Source organism: Homo sapiens, chromosome 2 (assembly GCF_000001405.40).
Source record: "Homo sapiens chromosome 2, GRCh38.p14 Primary Assembly".
NCBI lineage: Eukaryota > Metazoa > Chordata > Mammalia > Primates > Hominidae > Homo > Homo sapiens.
In genome coordinates this window covers 22,711,363-22,730,241 of record NC_000002.12, presented here as the reverse complement: position 1 = coordinate 22,730,241, position 18,879 = coordinate 22,711,363, and positions in this window count along the sequence as shown.

Sequence of the window (18,879 nt, the reverse complement as noted above, 5' to 3'; positions counted from 1 at the left end):
TTAATATATATACAATTTTATTATGTATTAAAATTTTAATATATAATTTTATTTTAATAAATGTAAAATTTTAATACACATAAAATTTTAATATGTATACATACACATATATAGCAGTACATAATTATTTGTGGTATTATTTAATTTTTCATAAATAGAAGTAGAGATATGTAAAATCAGTGGGTAGCTTATTGAGAAAAAAGTAATAAAAAAATTATATTTTAATATGGTTGTCTGACATCTGGGCACTGAGAGCAACTGGAATCCCCCAAATACATTATTTTAGAGTACTAAAAGATATGGTTTGAAAAGATACGTTCTTAGATCAAAAAAGTTTAAAAGCTGCATAGACTCCTTAAAGAAGGGCTTTTTATAGTTTTTTTTCTATTTGTTAATCTATAACTGTGTATCTCCAGGAGAGAGTCTCTTTCCCACAAAATATGTAACGGGACCAATATTTTGTGTTATGCAATGCTGCTTTAAACAAAAGAGTGAAGCCATGCCGACATACTCTGGTTCACAATGAGCTAAAAATATCCATCATGTTAATCCAGACTTCTTCACAGAACTCTTCTCTGCCCTGCCCCTGGGAGACATCTAAACTCTCTCAGACTGATGTTTGGTACTGGCAGAAGCTCAGATACGTTATCTGACCCAGCTATGACCACAACTCACACTTGCCTTGCAAGAGAAGAAGTCGTTACCAGTTTGATTTCAAATGCTCACTTTGTGGGATTTCAGCCTGCATGAGACACTTCGTGTAAAAATGACAAAAATGACAAAACTCAAGGGACTTCCTTATTACATTAATGAAAAAGTTTGTTAACATTTTATTTTTCAAAAAAATGGGCAGTAGTGGTTTGATTTGGGAGGTATGATCAGTCTTGATGCTGCTTTTCTTTTTTTTTTTTTTTTTGAGACGGAGTCTCGCTCTGTCGCCCAGGTCGGACTGCGGACTGCAGTGGCGCAATCTCGGCTCACTGCAAGCTCCGCTTCCCGGGTTCACGCCATTCTCCTGCCTCAGCCTCCCGAGTAGCTGGGACTACAGGCGCCCGCCACCGCGCCCAGCTAATTTTTTGTATTTTTAGTAGAGACGGGGTTTCACCTTGTTAGCCAGGATGGTCTCGATCTCCTGACCTCATGATCCACCCGCCTCGGCCTCCCAAAGTGCTGGGATTACAGGCGTGAGCCACCGCGCCCGGCCGCTGCTTTTCGTTTTAGAGTCTTGGGTCCCTGTGACAAAGCTGTAGCTGGAACCTGAAAGTGAAGCAGCCTGCTGTTCCCAAGAACAAGCGCATGCAAGAGATGAGGGATACTGTGAGAAAATTAGTTTTTCTTTAGAAACTTCCAAGTTCCCTTATGGAAAACAGCTTCTGAAATCATAAATGAAATAAAAAGACAAAATCAACCGAGAGTAAGGAGGAGAGAAACATCCACAGTTGCCGGCACAAAAGCAAGAAAGAAATTGATAGAGATATGGAGGAGAAAATGTACAAAACTGCCAAAGATGAGGTACCCAGATATAAACGATGAAGCTCCAGACTTTTCTCTGCTGGCTTCTTATGGCCCAGGAACACTTGCATGAAATGAACTAAAAATCATAATTTAAATAATAACGATAGCAAGAGAAGGAGAAATGCCAAGTGGGAACTCTCCCTGGAAACTTAAGCTAGTATAGTAACTCCTGATAATTTTACAATACCTTACACTGCAAATATACAGTCTATTGTTGTTACCCTGAGCTTGCAGTTAGATTCATTGTGAATCTCCATCCACCCCCAAATGCCGGGAATACCAGTAAGGGATTTGACTTATCATATACTCTATCGGTGAAATGGGGTAATGTTTATACCACCAACATTTTTATAAGAATATTGTGAAGATAAAATTAAGAAGTTCAGAAAAAACACTCAGCATATAATGATCAATTAGTAAATATTAATAGTTTTTGTTGTGTTTACAAACATTTATATCTTTTGTCACACATTTTTCTTCATAGTACTTTGGTACTTTGGTAACATTATCTCTTCCATTTAGATAACTATGCTGACAATCAAAAAGGTTAACCTAGTCAAAGTCACTGAACTTCCAAAGATAACTCAAATGTGGGTTTCCTAATTGTGAATTCAGTGATTGTCTTTCTTCCTTACTACATCATGGCCATTTTCAGAGCCAAATTTAGAGATCTAATGTACAGCAAGAGGACTGTAGTTGATAATGTACTGTATAGCAAAAATTCACTGAGTAGATTTTAGAAACACATGCACACACACACACACACACACACACACAAAGGTAACTATCAAAGTGATGAATTTGTGAATTTGTTTGGCGGTGGTAATCATTTCATTATGTATATCTGTTTCAAAACACATTTTGTACACCTCAAATGTATACAACACAAAATGAATGTGATTAATTCAGTGATTAAGTTAAAGCTCATTGTGATTATTAATTTTAATGCAAAATACTTTGTTTTAAAAATTCCTTTTACAATTCTTTGATTGTAAAGCTGTAAATTAAGTATGCTACCAGATATTGATTGTAACAGAAATTCCCACATTTGGGTGATCCTTTTGATAGTCCCATCTACAGGTAAGTTCTCAGGCTAAGACTTATTTTTTATAGTTCAGTGGGTTTAAGATTGGAATAACTGGCTAGCCATATGCTGAAGAATGAAGCTGAACTCCACCTTTCACCATATACAAAAATTAACTCGAAATGCATCAAAGATTTAAATGTAAGACTTCAAACTATAAAAATCCTAGGAGAAAACTTAGGAAATACTCTTCTCAACACTGGCACTGGCAAATAATTTTTGGCTAAGCCCCAAAAAGCAATCGAAAACAAAACAAAAATTGAGAAGTGAGACCCAATTAAACTAAAGAGCTTCTGCACAGCAAATAAAACTATCAACAGAGTAAATAGACAACCTACAGAATGGGCGAAAGTATTTGCAAACTATGAATCTAATGAAGGCCTAATATCCAGAATCTATAGAGAACTTAAATCAGCAAGCAAGCAAGCAAACAAACAAACAAAAGCACAAAAAAACCCCACAAATAACTCCATGAAAAAAAATGGGCAAATGACATGAACAGACATCTCTCAAAAGAAAACATACAAGTAGCCAACAAACATGTAAAAAAAAGCTTAGTATCATGAATCATCAGAGAAATACAAATCAAAACCACAATGAGATTTCACACCAGTCAGAATGACTATTATGAAAAAGCCAAAAAACTATAGATGCTGGCAAGGCTACAGAGAAAAAAGAATGCTTATACACTGTTGGTAGGAATGTAAATTAGTTCTGCCACTGTAGAAAGCAGTTTGGAGATTCCTCAAAGAAATTAAAACAAGGCTATCATTAGACCCAGCAATCCCATTACTGGGTATATACCCAAAGGAAAATAGTTCATTCTACCAAAAAGACACATGAACTCGTATGTTCTCCACTGTGCTATTCGAAATAGCAAAGATATAGAATCAACTTAGGTGCTCATCAATGGTTGACTGGAAAAAGAAAATATGGTACATATATACCACAGAATACTACACAGCCATAAAAATAATAAAATCCTGTCCTTTGCAGCAACATGGATGCAGTTGGAGGTCATAATCCTAAACGAATTAACACAGGAACAAAAAATCAAATACCACACATTCTCACTTAAAAATAGGAGCTGAACCTTGAGCACACATGGAAATAAACATGGGAACAATAGACACTAGGGACTACTAGAGTGGGGAGGTGAGGGAGGGGGTGTGAATTGTAAAACTACCTATGGGTTACTGTGCTCACCTGGGTGATAGGATCATTTGTACTCCAAACTTCAGCATCACTCAATATACCCATCTAACAAACCTGCACATGTACCTCTTGTATCTAAAAGTTGAAGAAAAAAGTAAACAAAAAAATAAGAGAGAAAGTTCTGTTCATAAGTTTTTAACTAAGAATATTGTCTTTAGGTGGAATTTATAAACCCCAGATTCTAGTGTTTCATTTAGATTATTGAAAGATCCATAATGCAATTCACAAAGTGAAATTTGTTAGCAATCTGAGGGCATCGTAGAAACAGCTGTGGTTTCTTTTTATTAAAATTTAAGTATATTAAAGTATTCAAACACACAGAAAACTAACCAACTTCCATATACGTACCCCCTGTATTAAAAAGAAGCTTATGATTGACACATTACACTGAATTTGGTACATCTTTCCCATTCATCTTTTAATCATTTTTGTACACATGTATCAAAGGTAAACAATATATAGTATGAGTTTTGTGTTTTAAAATTTCATACCTATGGAATCGTATTGTAAGTATTATTCTGCAATTTACTATTTATAATTAACAAATAATAATTATGTGTATTTATAAGGTATAATGTGATGTTTTAATCTATAAATACATTGTAGGAATATTCAGTTAAGCTAATTAATATAACTGTCACCTCACCAACTCATTTTTTTGTGGGGAGAATGTTAAAAATCTATTCTTTTAGCAATTTAAAAATATATAACACATTAATTGTGGTCTCCATGCAATGCAATAGATCACCAAAACTTCTTCCTCCAATCCAAGACTTTGTACCCTTTGATCAATATCTTCTCTATTCCATTTCTTCTCTTCCTCATCCCTCAGCCTCTGGTAACTAACATTCTACTCTCTGTTTCTATGAGATAGACTCTTTAATTTTAAGATAGACTTAATATTCCACACATAAGTAAGATCATGCAGTATTTGTCTGTATCTGGCTTGTTTCACTTTGCATAATATCCTCTAGTTTCTCAATGTTGTCACAAATGACAGAATTTTCTTTCTTTTTAAGGCTGACTCATGTTCCACTGGCATCATAGAAACAGCTGTGGTTTCTTTTTATTAAAATTTAAGTACATACATTATACATACTACATTTCCCCTGTCATTTATCTGTTGATGGACACTTATGTTGCTTCCATAGCCTCGCTATTATGAATAACAGTGCAGTGAATATGGTGATGCAGACTTCTCTCTGACATAACAATTTCAATTCCTTTGCATATATACTGAAAACTAAAATTGCTAGATTATTTACTAATTCTATTTTTAGTTTTTAAAGGAATCTTCATACTACTTTCAAAAGTTGCTGTACTAATTTATATTGATCAATAGTATACAAGTGTTCTCTTTTGTCCACATTCTTGCCAACACTTATTATTTGCATTTTTGATATTAGCCACTCTAACTGGTGTGAAGTGATATCCTGGTTTCTATTTGAATTTCTCTGATTAGAGATGTTGAACATTTAAAACATATATTTAACATCTCTTCTTTTGAGAAATGCCTGTGTAGACCCTTTGTCTATTTTTTAACTGGGTTTTTTTTTTTTTACTATTGAGTTGTTTGAGTTCCTTATATATTTTGGTTTATTAGCCTCTTATAAGATATATGGTTTGCAAATATTCTTTCACAATCTTGGTATGGTATCTACACTTTGTTAATTGATTCCTTTGCTGTGCAGAAGGCTTTTCATTTAACACAGTCTCATTTACCTGTTTTTGTTTTGTTGCCTGTGCTTTTGGACTCCTATCCAAAAAATCGCTAACCAAACCAACGTTTCAGAGCTTTTTCTATGTGTTCTTCTGGTAACATAACAGTGTCAGATCATACATTTCAGTCTTTTATCTATTTTGAGTTGATTTTTGTATATGGTGTGAGATAAAGATTTAATTTTATTATTCTGCATGTGGATATATAGTTTTCCCACCACCATGTATTAAAGAGGTTGTCTGTTCCTCATAGTATATTTTTGGCACTTTTGTCAAAAATCAATTGACTATAAATACCTTGGTTTATTTCTGGGCTTTATATCATGTTCTACTAGTGGGAGTGTTTCTGTTGTGAGGGTACCATGCTATTTTGATTACAATAGCTTTATGACATATTTTGAAATCAGGAAGTGTGATGCCTCCAGCTTTGTACTTTTTGCTCAAGATTACTTGGAATATTGAGAGTCTTTTCTTGATTCCATATGAGTTGGAATTTTTTTTTCTCTTTCTGTAGGAAATGACATTGGGATTTTGATAGGAATTACATTGAATCTATAGATAACTTTCAGTAGTATGGACTTTTTAACAATATTAATTCTTCCAATCCATGAACATGGAATACCTTTCCATTTATTTGTGTCTTCTTCAATTTCTTTTCTCAACATTTTGTAGTTTTCAGTGTACACATCTTTTACTTCCTTCATTAAATTTACTCCTAAGTCTTTTATTTTGTTGGTACTATTATGTGGAAGTAGTTTTTAAATTTATTATTTCAATTGCTCGTTGTTAGGGTCTAGAAACACTACTAATTTTTGCCTGTTGGTTTTGTAAACTGCAGTTTTACTGAACTGATTAGTTCCAATAATTTTTCCAAAGAAATTTTTAGAGTTTTTTTATATATAAGATTATGTCCATATCCATCCAGCAAACAATGACAATTGCACTTCTTCTTTTATTATATGCATGCCTTTTACTACTTTTTCTTGCTTAATTGCTCTGGCTAGGATTTCTAGTACTATGTTAGATAGAGGTGGTAAGAGTGGGCATCTTTGTGTTGTTCCTGATGTTAGAGGAAAAGCTTTTAATTCTTCACCATTGAGAATAATGTTAGCTGTAGCCTTGTCATACATTACCTTTATTATGTTGAGGTATTTTCCTTATATAGTTATTCTTGACAATTTTAATCATAAATGAATGACATGTTTAAATACAAATCATAAATATAATATATATATTGAAATACAAATATACCCCATTTGCCCTCAGCTCCATATGCCTTATGTGAGTTCTCTACCCAGTAGGATAATTGAATTCTTAGTTCCTAGGGCTCTGAGTCCTTGGCAGTCTTGCCTAGATGGTGTTGCTATCACACTATTTTTAGCGATTAAAAAAAAAAACTATCTCCAGGATTCCAAATGTTCTTCTCCTTGTTTCCATTGCATAGTAGTCTATTTTTTAAAGTAAACTACTATGTTACAGAAACAATCATTTGCATATATGTATTTATATATGTATATATAAATGTGCATATATATATACACGTGTATATATATAAATTATTATATATGTGAGTGTTGCTCAGGTTATAGGACTAACCTGAGGCAGCAGGGGGCTCTGCTCATCACAGTCTCTCAGAAACCCAGGCTGTTGGATGCTCCAACTTGACACAATCTTACCTGATGACTAATGCAAGAAAAGTAGAAGAAGGCAAATTATTTAACATATCTTAATATTTCTGCTCACATTTCATGGGCCTTTGCTCAAGTTACCAGGCCAAGAAGGCTATGACTATATTCAAAGACACAGGGAGATGCAACACTACCATATGCCTGAAAAGAGGAGAAACAGATTTGGGAATAACTTGGTGATAACTACCATATGCAGCAACTTTATTTTACCTTGATAAATCATTATTACACACCACAGTCAATACTTCCTTTTTTTTCTTGTTCATTTAATTATATGTGAATCTAAATAGGTAAGGTGATATGCTTAACTTTTAGTCTCTAGAAAAATTGCTATGCCCCTGGCAAAAGCATTTCTTTCCTTAGGAACTAAATTCTCTAAAATGGCAGTACCTAGAATCATTGTATGAAAAGTAAAAAATATGTGCCTGGTCGCAATAATGAGTGGTGTCACTCCAATTTCCATCCCTTCCATCACAGTCTGATACGGTTTGGCTTTGTCCCCACCCAAATCTCAACCCAAATTGTATCTCCCAGAATTTCCACATGTTGTGGGAGGGACCCAGGGGGAGGTAATTGAATCATGGGAGCCAGTCTTTGCCGTGCTATTCTGGTGATAATGAATAAGTCTCATGAGAGCTCATGTTTTGTCTGGGGTTTCTGCTTTTCTTATTTTTCATTTTCTCTTGCTGCAGCCATGTAGGAACTGCCTTTTGCTCCCCACCATGATTCTGAGGCTTCCCCAGCCGTGTGGAACTGTAAGTTCAATTAAACCTCTTTTTCTTCCCAGTCTTGGGTATGTCTTTATCAGCAGTATGAAAATGGACTAATACAGTAAATTTGTACCAGTAGAGCGGGTGTTGCTGGAAAGATACCTGAAAATGTGGAAGTGACTTTGGAACTGGGTAACCGGGAGACATTGGAACAGGTTAAAGGATTCAGAAGACAGGAAAATGTGAGAAAGTTTGCAACTTCCTCGAGACTTGTTGAATGGCTTTGCCCAAAATGCTGATAGCGATATGGACAATAAAATCCAGGCTGAGGTGATCTCAGATGGAGATGAGGAACTTGTTGGGAAGTGGAGCAAAGGTGACCCTTGTTATGTGTTAGCAAAGAGGCTGGCAGCATTTTGCCCTTGCCGTAGAGATTTATGGAAGTTTGAACTGAGAGAGATGATTTAGGGTATCTGGAGGAAGAAATTTCTAAGCAGCAAGCATTCAAGAGGTGATTTTGGTGCTGTTAAAGGCATTCAGTTTTATAAGGCATAAAAGTTAAAAGCATAAAATAAAAGTTTGAAAAATTGAAAAGTTTATAAAAGCATAAAAGTTTGAAAAATTTGCAGCCTGACTATGCAATAGAAAATAAAAACCCATTTTCTGGGGAGAAATTCAAGCTGGCTGCAGAAATTTGCATAAGCCGCAAGGAGCCTAATGTTAGTCCCCAAAACCGTGGAGAAAATGTCTCCAGGCCATGTCAGAGACCTTCATGGCAGTCCCTCCCATCACAGGCCTAGAGGCCCAGGAGGAAAATGTGGTTTTGTGTGCCGGGCCCAGGGTCCCCATGCTGTGTGCAGCCTAGGGACCAGATGCTCTGTGTCCCAGCTGCTCCAGATGTGGATGAAAAGGGCCAATGTACAGCTCAGTCTGTGGCTTCAGAGGGTGGACGCACCAAACCTTGGCAGCTTCCACGTGGTGTTGAGCCTGCGAGTGCACAGAAGTCAAGAATTGAGGTTTGAGAACCTCTGCTTAGATTTCAGAAGATGTATGGAAATGTCTGAATGCCCAGGCAAAAGTTTGCTACAGGGGTGGGGCCCTCATGGAGAACCCCTGCTAGGGCAGTGTGGAAGGGAAATATGGGGTTGGAGCCCCGAGATAGAGTCCCTACTGGGGCACTGCCCAGTGGAGCTGTGAGAAGAAGGCCACTGTCCTTCAGACCCCAGAATGGTAGATGCAACTGGCAGCTTGCACCATGCACCTGGAAAAGCCATAGACACTCAATGCCAGCCTGTGAAAGCAGCCAGGAGGGAGGCTGTACCCTGCAAAGCCACAAGGGCAGAGCTGCCTAAGACCACGGGAACCCACCTCTTGCATCAGCATGATCTGGATATGATACCTGGAGTCAAAGTAGATCATTTTGGAGCTTTAAAATTTGACTGCCTTGCTGTATTTCAGACTTTTATGGGCCCTGTAACCCCTTTGTTTTGGATAATTTCTCCCATTTGGAATGGCTATATTTACCCAATATCTATACTCCCACTGTAACTAGGAAGTAACTAGCTTACTCTTGATTTTACAGGCTCGTAGGTAGAAGGGACTTGCCTTGTCTCAGATAAGACTTTGGACTGTGGACATTTGGGTTAATGTTGAAATGAATTAAGACTTTGGGGGACTGTTGGGAAGGCATGATTGGTTTTGAAATGAGAGGACATGAGATTTGGAGGGGCCTGGGTGGAATGATATGGTTCAGCTCTGTCCCCACCCAAATCTCAACTCAAATTGTATCTCCCAGAATTCCTGCATGTGTGGGAGGGACACAGGGGGAGGTAACTGAATCACGGGAACGGGTCTTTCCTGTACTGTTCTCATGATAGTGAATAAATCTCATGAGATCTGTTGGGTTTATCAGGACTTTCTGTTTCTGCTTCTTTCTCATTTTCTCTTGCCACTGCCATGTAAAAAGTGCCTTTTGCCCCCTGCCATGATTCTGAGGCCTCCCAAGCCAAGTGGAACTGTAAGTCCAATTAAACCTCTTTTTCTTCCCAGTCTCAGGCATGCCTTTATCTGCAGCATTGAAACAAACTAATACACAATCCTATATTCAAGCCATGAGAGAAATAACATCATATAAAACATCTTTCAGGAGAGAGGATCTGTTTCACAAGTTGGTGTCTTTTAGCTTGTGATGTAACTGAGTGTTCAATTGGCTATTCCACTGTTCCTTAAAGCCACTTACTAGTATGTGATGGACATATGGTATGGCCTGTGAATATCATGCTTTCTCTTTTGTACCTTGCTTTATCTTTTATGAAATGAGGTCCTTTGTTAGATGCATCATAATATGGAGTACTGATAAGGCAAGAAAAGATGGGCACTTTTCTTTGGTCAAGCCTCCTAGGAAACCAGCTTTGAGTCAGCTTTGTATGAAGAAGGTTTCTTGGAACATGTTCTCCAGAAAATTTGCAAGGGAGTGCAGAAGGAGGGTTAAGCATAAAGAGAAAGTCAGTTGCAATGAAGTTGCAATAGAGCACTCAGCCTATTCTTCAGAGAGCTCTGGAGCTAAGATGACCTTTCACTGAGATGAGGGCTGGGACTCAACCTATACCCCTGCCTCAACCTGTCACTAATTGCAGGATACACTGGGAAAAATGTATAAACTCAGGCAAAGCAGCTCCTTTGGGTGGGAGAAATTCCCAGAAAGATTGTTAGCTGTGAGCCAACAGCAGCTGACTCTCCCAGCAGCTGGGGAAATGTTCATTACTGCTGCTTTACAAATGGGGTTACTCAGCTGGGCAGTAGCCATTCTAGCCATAGCAAGGGGAAGTGACATTGTTTAGTACATGTACAACTTCCATTGTAACTAACATGGATAGTCTGCTAAGGTGATTATATTTTTATTCTTTAATTTATTAATATATTGCATTGTTAAATTTTTCTGATGTTACACCAGCCTTACATTCTTAAGAAAATCTTTTCTTGGGCAAGATTAAATCTAGACACACTGCTACGTTTGATTTCCCAATATTGTATTAGAATTTTTTTTATCTATGTTCATAAGTATGATTGGTCTATAATTATCTAGTTCTCTACTTATCTAATTTTCATGTCAAGATTGAATCAGTCTCATAAAAAGGTTGGATTTTTAACCTTTTTTATCTGTTCTTTGAAACTGGTGTGAAGAATTATCTTTTCATTTCAGTTTACAGAAAATTTACAAGTAAAATTCTTTTACCAATCTGACCTCATCTTCTACTCCTCCTTGCCCTTCTATTCCCTCTGATCCAGTGTTACTGGTCCTTTTGCTGTACTGGGAGCATGTGAGGCAACTGCCTGCATTGCCATTCTGATCTAGCTCTTTCCTCTGTTTGTAGTGCTCTTTCTCTGATATCAGCAGAGTGATTTTCCTCCCTCCTGAAACTCCCTGCATAGATGGGCGTACTCTGACTTCCAATTTAAAACCTCAGTCAGACTATGAACTCATATCCACCTCACTCCACTCACCCCTACCCCTTACCATGTTCTATATAATTAACTTATTTTTAATAGTTTATTGTTGTCTCCCCTTACTAGAATTTCAACTCTTTAAATATAGTATTTTTGTTATTGTTTCGTTTCATTTACTGATCAGCCCAAGTGCCTAGCATAGTGTCTGACACATAGTAGGGCCTCAATAAATAGGGGGAAAGAGAAGGGATGAAAGTTTTTTTTACCACTCATTTAATTTCATTAATAATTATTGTTTTCATAAATGATTAAAGTTTACTTTTTCTTCTTCTTAAGTAAGTCAATTCTGGTAATGTATACTTTTCCATAATATTGCCATTTCTCTAACTTGTAAAATTATTGGCAAATGTTGTTCGTAGTAATTTCATGAGACTTTTGAAATCTCTTATATGTAGTCATATCCTGAATTTTTCATCTCTGACTTGTGTTCTCTCTCAGCTTCTCTCTCTCTTTCTTTTACATTCTTTGATCAGCCATACTTCAGCATAATCTATTTTGTGACTATTTTCAAAGAATCAGCTCCAAATTTGTGGATTAATTTTGTTTTTAAAATTCTATCAATTCATCCTTTATATGATTTATTTTCCTCATTCTTTTAATTTGTAGTATTTTTCTTTTTCTACCTTCTTGAGGTAAATACTTAACTCATTTATTTTCTCCTTTTTTTCTTTTCTTTTTGAGATGTGTTCTCATTCTGTCACCCAGGCTGGAGTGCAATGGCGCTATCTCAGCTCGCTGCAACCTCTGCCTTTTGGGTTCAAAAGATTTCTTAAAGGCACGTGCCACAACACCCAGCTAATTTTTGTATTTTTTTTGTTGAGATGGGGTTTCATCATGTTGTCCAGGCTGGTCTCAAACTCCTGACCTCAAGTGATGCACCCACCTCAGCCTCCCAAAGTGCTGGGATTACAGGCATGAGCCACCGCACCCAGCTTATTTATTTTTAATCATCCTTTTTTAAAAAGTGTTTTTAATACTATAGTGGATCTCTAGTTCCACTTGTACTACATTCCACAAGGGCTGATGTATAGTTTATTTGTTGTCATTGAGTTCTAAATATTTTATAATTTTCATTGTGTTTTCTTCTTAAATCTATTTGTTATTTAGGAGTATTTCCTTTTTTTATATATGTAGCTTTGGGTTCTAATGTTTCTAATTTATATATGTTATGGACAGAGATCGTATGCCATATGATAGCAATTATTTGAAGTGTATTAAGAATTTATTTTGTGGTCTAATACTGTGGAAGTCTGTGGTGGAAAACTTACTTTTGTATTTGTATGTATCAGTCAGTTCTTATTTAACCCCAAATCAAGAATACAATTTTGGTTGGATATGAAATTTCAGATTGGTAACTATTTTTCTTCAGGTTGCTACCTTTAGATGCCCGTGTGTTCTGGCATTTAGTGTGGCTAAGGTCTGCTGTCACTTTAATTGTCTTTTCATTACAGTTAAGATGACTTTTCTCTCTGATGCCTTTTAGGATTTTCTTTTTATCTTTGAGGTTCTGAAGTTTCACTCAGAAATATTTGGGTGTGGATTTATTTTTAATCGTCCCTGGAGTTTCCATCTCTCTTCTTACATTAGCAATCTGTTTTTGCATGTTATCTAATTTTTCCATTAAAACTCTTATATTAATCATAGTTATTTTAGATTTCACGTCTGATCATTCCTAAATCTGCGTCATATCTGGTTCTTGTTCACATGCTTACTTTGCTCCTTTATACAGTGTATGTAAATGTGTGTGCAGTGCATGCATGTACATGTGTGCACATTGCCTTTTTACATGCTTGGCAATTTTTTTGTTGAAAGCCAAACTTGATGAATTGAGTAATAGGAACTGATATATAGGACTTCAGTGAGAGAATTTATGTTAATCTGGCCGGGAACTGGGCTGTGTTTAATGTTTGTTCTTGCAGCTGGTACTAGAGGTTCAAATTACTCTAGTGTTCTTGTTTTTTGTCTCCTTTCTTGACATTGGGATTTGCTATGTACTCCTTCTAAGAATCTGCATTTTGCAGCTCATTCACTATGATCCACTATTATCATACTCAAGTCCTATTGATATGGTAGGAAAGTGTGGAGGACATTCTATAACCTTATTATGAAATCTCAATCTTTTAGTGGACCTGTGACCCTGGCTGGTCCTTTATAGTCTTTCTTAGCTTTCCCTCTTAGGTAAGACAGGAAGAGTAGAAGGAATTAGAGTGCCCTAAATACTTTTCCCAGAGGTCGGCTATGGCTCTGGTAGGTTTTCATGGTGGAGAATACTTTGGGTGCATTTTAGAATTACTAATACTTTCTTCCCTCTGACAGAAGCAATAGATCTGTCTAGGCTCTTAATCACAAGAACTGGGTAAGTTTCATGGAGGTAAGGCCCATGAAAGTGTGGGGGACCCCTTAGCCTGCCTGGCCTTCCCAGAGTTTCTCACTCTCACATGAGTCCGCACTCAACCATCAGGAATTCTTCAAAATTACCATTTACATATTTGTACCAGTTTATAGCTCTAGCAGCTTCTGCTCCAGATTATCAGAGGTTGGTCGCTGTGACTGTCTGGATTTATCTTTCTCTGCAAATTTCAGACTGGAAGTTTGCTTTGAGACCTCAATTTTCTGATGGATAGAAGAGGAGTAATTGATTTTCTGTTTTATTCAGCTTTCTCTTGTAAGAAAGGGAGTGATGACATCTTAAGCTCTTTACATATTAGAGCTAAATATTTTCAGTCATTTTTGAATTTTCTATTCCGAAAGATATTAAGTTTTTGGAGTAATAAGAAATAATAGGTTTTTGGCTGGGTGCGGTGTCCCAAGCCTGCCATACCAGCACTTTGGGAAGCCGAGGGCGGCGGATTGCTCTAGCCCAGGAGTTAGAGAACACCCTGGGCAACATGGTGAAACTTCATCTCTACAAAATATACAAAAATTAGCTAGGCATGCTGGCCCAAGCCTGTAGTCTCAGCTGCTAGGGAGACCAAAATGGGAGGACTGCTTGAGCCTGGGAGGAAGAGGTTGCAGTGAGGAGAGATCGTGCCGTTGTACTCTAGTGGGGGCAACAGAGTGAGGCCCTGTCTTTCTCACACACACTAATATAATAATAATAGATTTTTTTTATTTTAAAAGTACTTTATAGGGGATGAAAACTCCACCCAGTCACTCAGTCATCAGTTTTAAATGATAAGTTGAGCTTTTGATTCTTATCCTTGTAAGGCATCCATTATAGTTTCTAATAGGGTAACTATTAGGACCCTAGCCAGGTCTGCCAGACTCCAGACTTGGCAACTGTCGGACCAAGACCTCTAGCTTTTGATTTGTTGCTATTTGATCTCTGGCCTATAGAACTGTTTATCTCTTTTTGAAATAGAGCTCTTTAAAAATGTATGGTTGTCTTATATTTTATCCATTAGTCCTGTGTCTTACAGTAACACAGGACGATACGTTTAAAGCCTGAACCTATTGAGTTTGGAACTCTGAAGTTTATTTTAACTTTAGCATTGACTTTTGGACATCTTTGATGTAAGTAATCATATACACAAATTACATTTAGTCCTTTTGGTTTTTGTTTTTAAATTGTGTATTAATACATAATATTTGTATATTTTATGGAGTACGTGTGGTATTTTGTTACGTGTGTAGAATGTGTAGTGATCAAGTCAGGATATTTAGGGCATCTATCACCTTGAGCACTTATTATTTGTATGTGTTGGGAACATTTCAAGTCCCCTCTTCTATCCATTTTTAAATATACAATACATTGTTGTTAACTCTAGTTACCCTACTCTGCTATTAAATTTAAGAACTTATTCCTTTTATCTAACTGTATATTTGTACCCATTAACAAATCACTCTTTATCTCCTTCCAATACCTGTTCCCCACATTACAAACACCCTTCTTAGCCTCTGGTTACTATCAATCTACTCTGTACCTCTATAAGATCAACTTTTTAAATTTTCATATGTAAGTGAAAATATTCACTATTTGTCTTTTTATGATTGGCTTATCTCATTTAACATAATGACTTCCAGCTCCATTTACGTAGCTGCAAATGACAGGATTTCATTCTTTTTTATGGCTGAAGAGTATTCTATTGTGTATATATACCACAATTTCTTTATCCATTCATTTATTGATGGACATGTGGGTTTATTCCCTATCTTTGCTATTGTCAATAATACTGCAGTAAAATGGAAGCGTCAGTATCACTTTGATGTACTGTTTTTCTTTTCCTTGGCTAAATACCCACTAGTGGGATTGCTTGATCTCATGGTAGTTCTATTTTTTGTTTTTTTTGAAAAATCTCCATACTGTTTGCTGCACTAATTTACATTCCTGTCAACAATGTATAAGAGTTCCCTTTACTCCACATCTTCACAAGCATCTATTTTTTATTTTTAATAAGAGCCATTCTAACTGGAATAAGATGATACACAATATGTATCACAGTAATATATTCAAGGAAAAAAGAATAAAAAAAAGTTCCATCCAAGTGATAGTAAATTCAAAAATAGGAAGTGACAGCTTTCTCAGGTGAGAAGGAATCAGTAGAAAAACTCCAGCAGTACAAAGGGACAGAATGTCTCAACACCACTAAGGGATCACACTAACTCTTTAGCAATAGATCCTAACCAAAATGAAAAGTCTGAAATGACAGATAAAGAATTCAAAGTATGGATTGTAAGGAAACTCAGTGAGATCTAAGAGAAAGTGAAAAATCAACACAAGGAAACAAAAAAAAAAAAATCAAGGATATGAAAGATGAGATAGTTATTTTAAAAAAACATATAAGAAGAAATAAAATTTCTTGAATTGAAAAATTTACTAAAGGAATTTTAAAATACAGTTGAAAGTTAAAAGTAGACTAGAAGAAGCAGAAGAAATAATTTCAGACTTTGAAGACCTGTCTTTGGAATTAACCCATCAGACAAAAATAATGAAAAAAGAATTTAAAAACAAACCAAGCCTTCCAGAAACATGGGATTATGTGAAGGCAACCAAACCTATGACTTAGTGGCATTCCTGAGAGAGAAGAAAAAGTAAGCCACTTGGCAAACATTCTTAAGAAAATCATTCAAGAGAAATTTTATTTTGCTAGACAGGTTGACATGCAGCCACAAGAAATTCAAAGAATATCTGCAAGATACTACACTAGATGACCATCATCAATGCAAATACTCATCAGACTGTCCAGTCAAAATGAAAGAAAGAGTCTTAAAGGAAGCTAGCGAAAAGGGCCATGTTATCTATTAAAAAGTCCCACTAGACTAACAGCTTACTTCTCAGCAGAATCTTACAAGTCAGAGGACATTAGTGGCCTATTTTTAGCTTTCCTAAAGAAAGAACAAAAATGCTGGCCAATAATTTTATATCCTGCTAAAGTAAGCTTCATGTAAAAGAGAAATAGTCTTTCCAGACAAGTAAATTGTAAGAGAATTTGTCATCACCAGAATAGATCTACAAGAAATGCTCAAAGAAGTTCTAACATGGAAATGAAAGAGTTTACAGAAACACACATAAGTGAAAAGTTTATAGATCCTATATAGCAATTACACAATTAAAATTACAAAGCAACTAGCTAACAACACTATGACAGGCACAAAACCTCACATATCAATATTAACTTTGAAAATAAATGGCCTAAATGCTTCAATTGAAAGACTTAGATTGGCAAATTGGATAAAGAACAAGACTCAACCATCTGCTGCATTCAAGAGACCCATCTTACAATTAATGACACACATAGACTCAAAGTAAAGTGGTGGAGAAAGATCTATCACGAAAATGAAACACAAAAAAGATCAGGGGTTGCTATTCTTGTATCAGATGAAACAAACATTGAATCAACAACGTTTTAAAACGGTAAAAATAATGAAGTTTTAATTCAAAAAGAAGATTTAACTATCCTAAATATATGCACATCCATCACTGGAGCACCCGCGTTTGTAAAACAAATACTTCTAAACATCAGAAAAGAGATAAATAGCCATGTAATGATATTGGAGGACTTCAAAACACCATTGACAGCACTAGGCTGATCATTGAGGCAGAAAAGTAACAAAGAAATTCTAAACTTAAATTGGACTCTTAACCAAATGGATCTAATAGACATGTACAAAATATTTCACCCAACAATCACAGAATATACAATTTTCTCATTTGGACATGGAATATTCTCTAAAATTAATCATATGCTTGGTTGTAAAGCAAGTCTCAATAAATTCAAAAAAATAAAATTATATCAAGCATCTGTTCAGACTACAGTGTAATAAAATTAGAAATCAATACCAAGAGAAACTCTAAAAAACACACACAAGTACATGGACACTGCACAACTTGTTCCTCAATGATTTTGGATAAACAGCAAATAAGGAAGGAATCAAAATATTTCTTGAAATGAATTAAAATGGAGATAAAACATACCAAAACCTTTGTGGTGCAGCAAAGGGAGTGTTAAGTTGAAATTTTATGTTACTAAATGCCTACATCAAAACAATAGAAAGATCTTAAATTTACAAGCTAATCCTGTCCTAAAGTAACTAGAAAAACTAAAACAGACAAAACCCAAAAGTAGCAGAGGAAAGGAAATAACAAAGAACAGAGGAAAACTAAATGAAATTGAGATTAACAACAACAAAAAAAATACAAAGGATTAATGAAACAGAAAGTTGATTTTTTGAAAGGATAAACAAATTGATAGACCATTAGCTAGATTAATCAAGAGAAAAAAGAGATACCATTCAAATAAGAAAAAATCATAAATTATATATGCAGCATTACCACTTATACCACAAAAATACAAAAGATCCTCAGAGACAACTATGTGCAACTCTATGTGTACAAACTAAAAAACCTAGAGGAAATGGATAAATATCTGGAAACATACAACCTCCCAAGTTTGAACCAGGAAGAAATAGAAATCCTAAACAGACCAGTAATAGTTTATGAAATTCAATCAGTTATTTAAAAATATACTACCCAGAAAAAGCTCAGGACCAGATGGATTCAGTCAAATTCTAGTAGACATACAAAGAAAAGCGGATACCAATTTTACTGAGACTACTTGAAAAAATAGAGTAGGAAGGATTCCTCCTTAACTCATTCTATAAAACCAGTATTACCCTGATACCAAAATCTGGGTAGCACACACACAAAAATATTCCTGATGAACATAAATGCAAAAATATTCAACAAAATACAGGCAAACCGAATCCAGCAACACATCAAAAAGATAATTCATCAAGATCAAGTGAGGAGTTTTATTCCAGGAATTCAAGGATGGTTTAACATGTACAAATCAATAAACGTGATTCACCATGTAAACATAATTAAAAACAAAAGCCATATGACCATTTCAATAGATGCAGAAAAAAAATTCAATAATATCCCAAATCCCTTCATAGTAAAATTTCTCAACAACTAGGGCATTGAAAGACAATACTTCAAAAT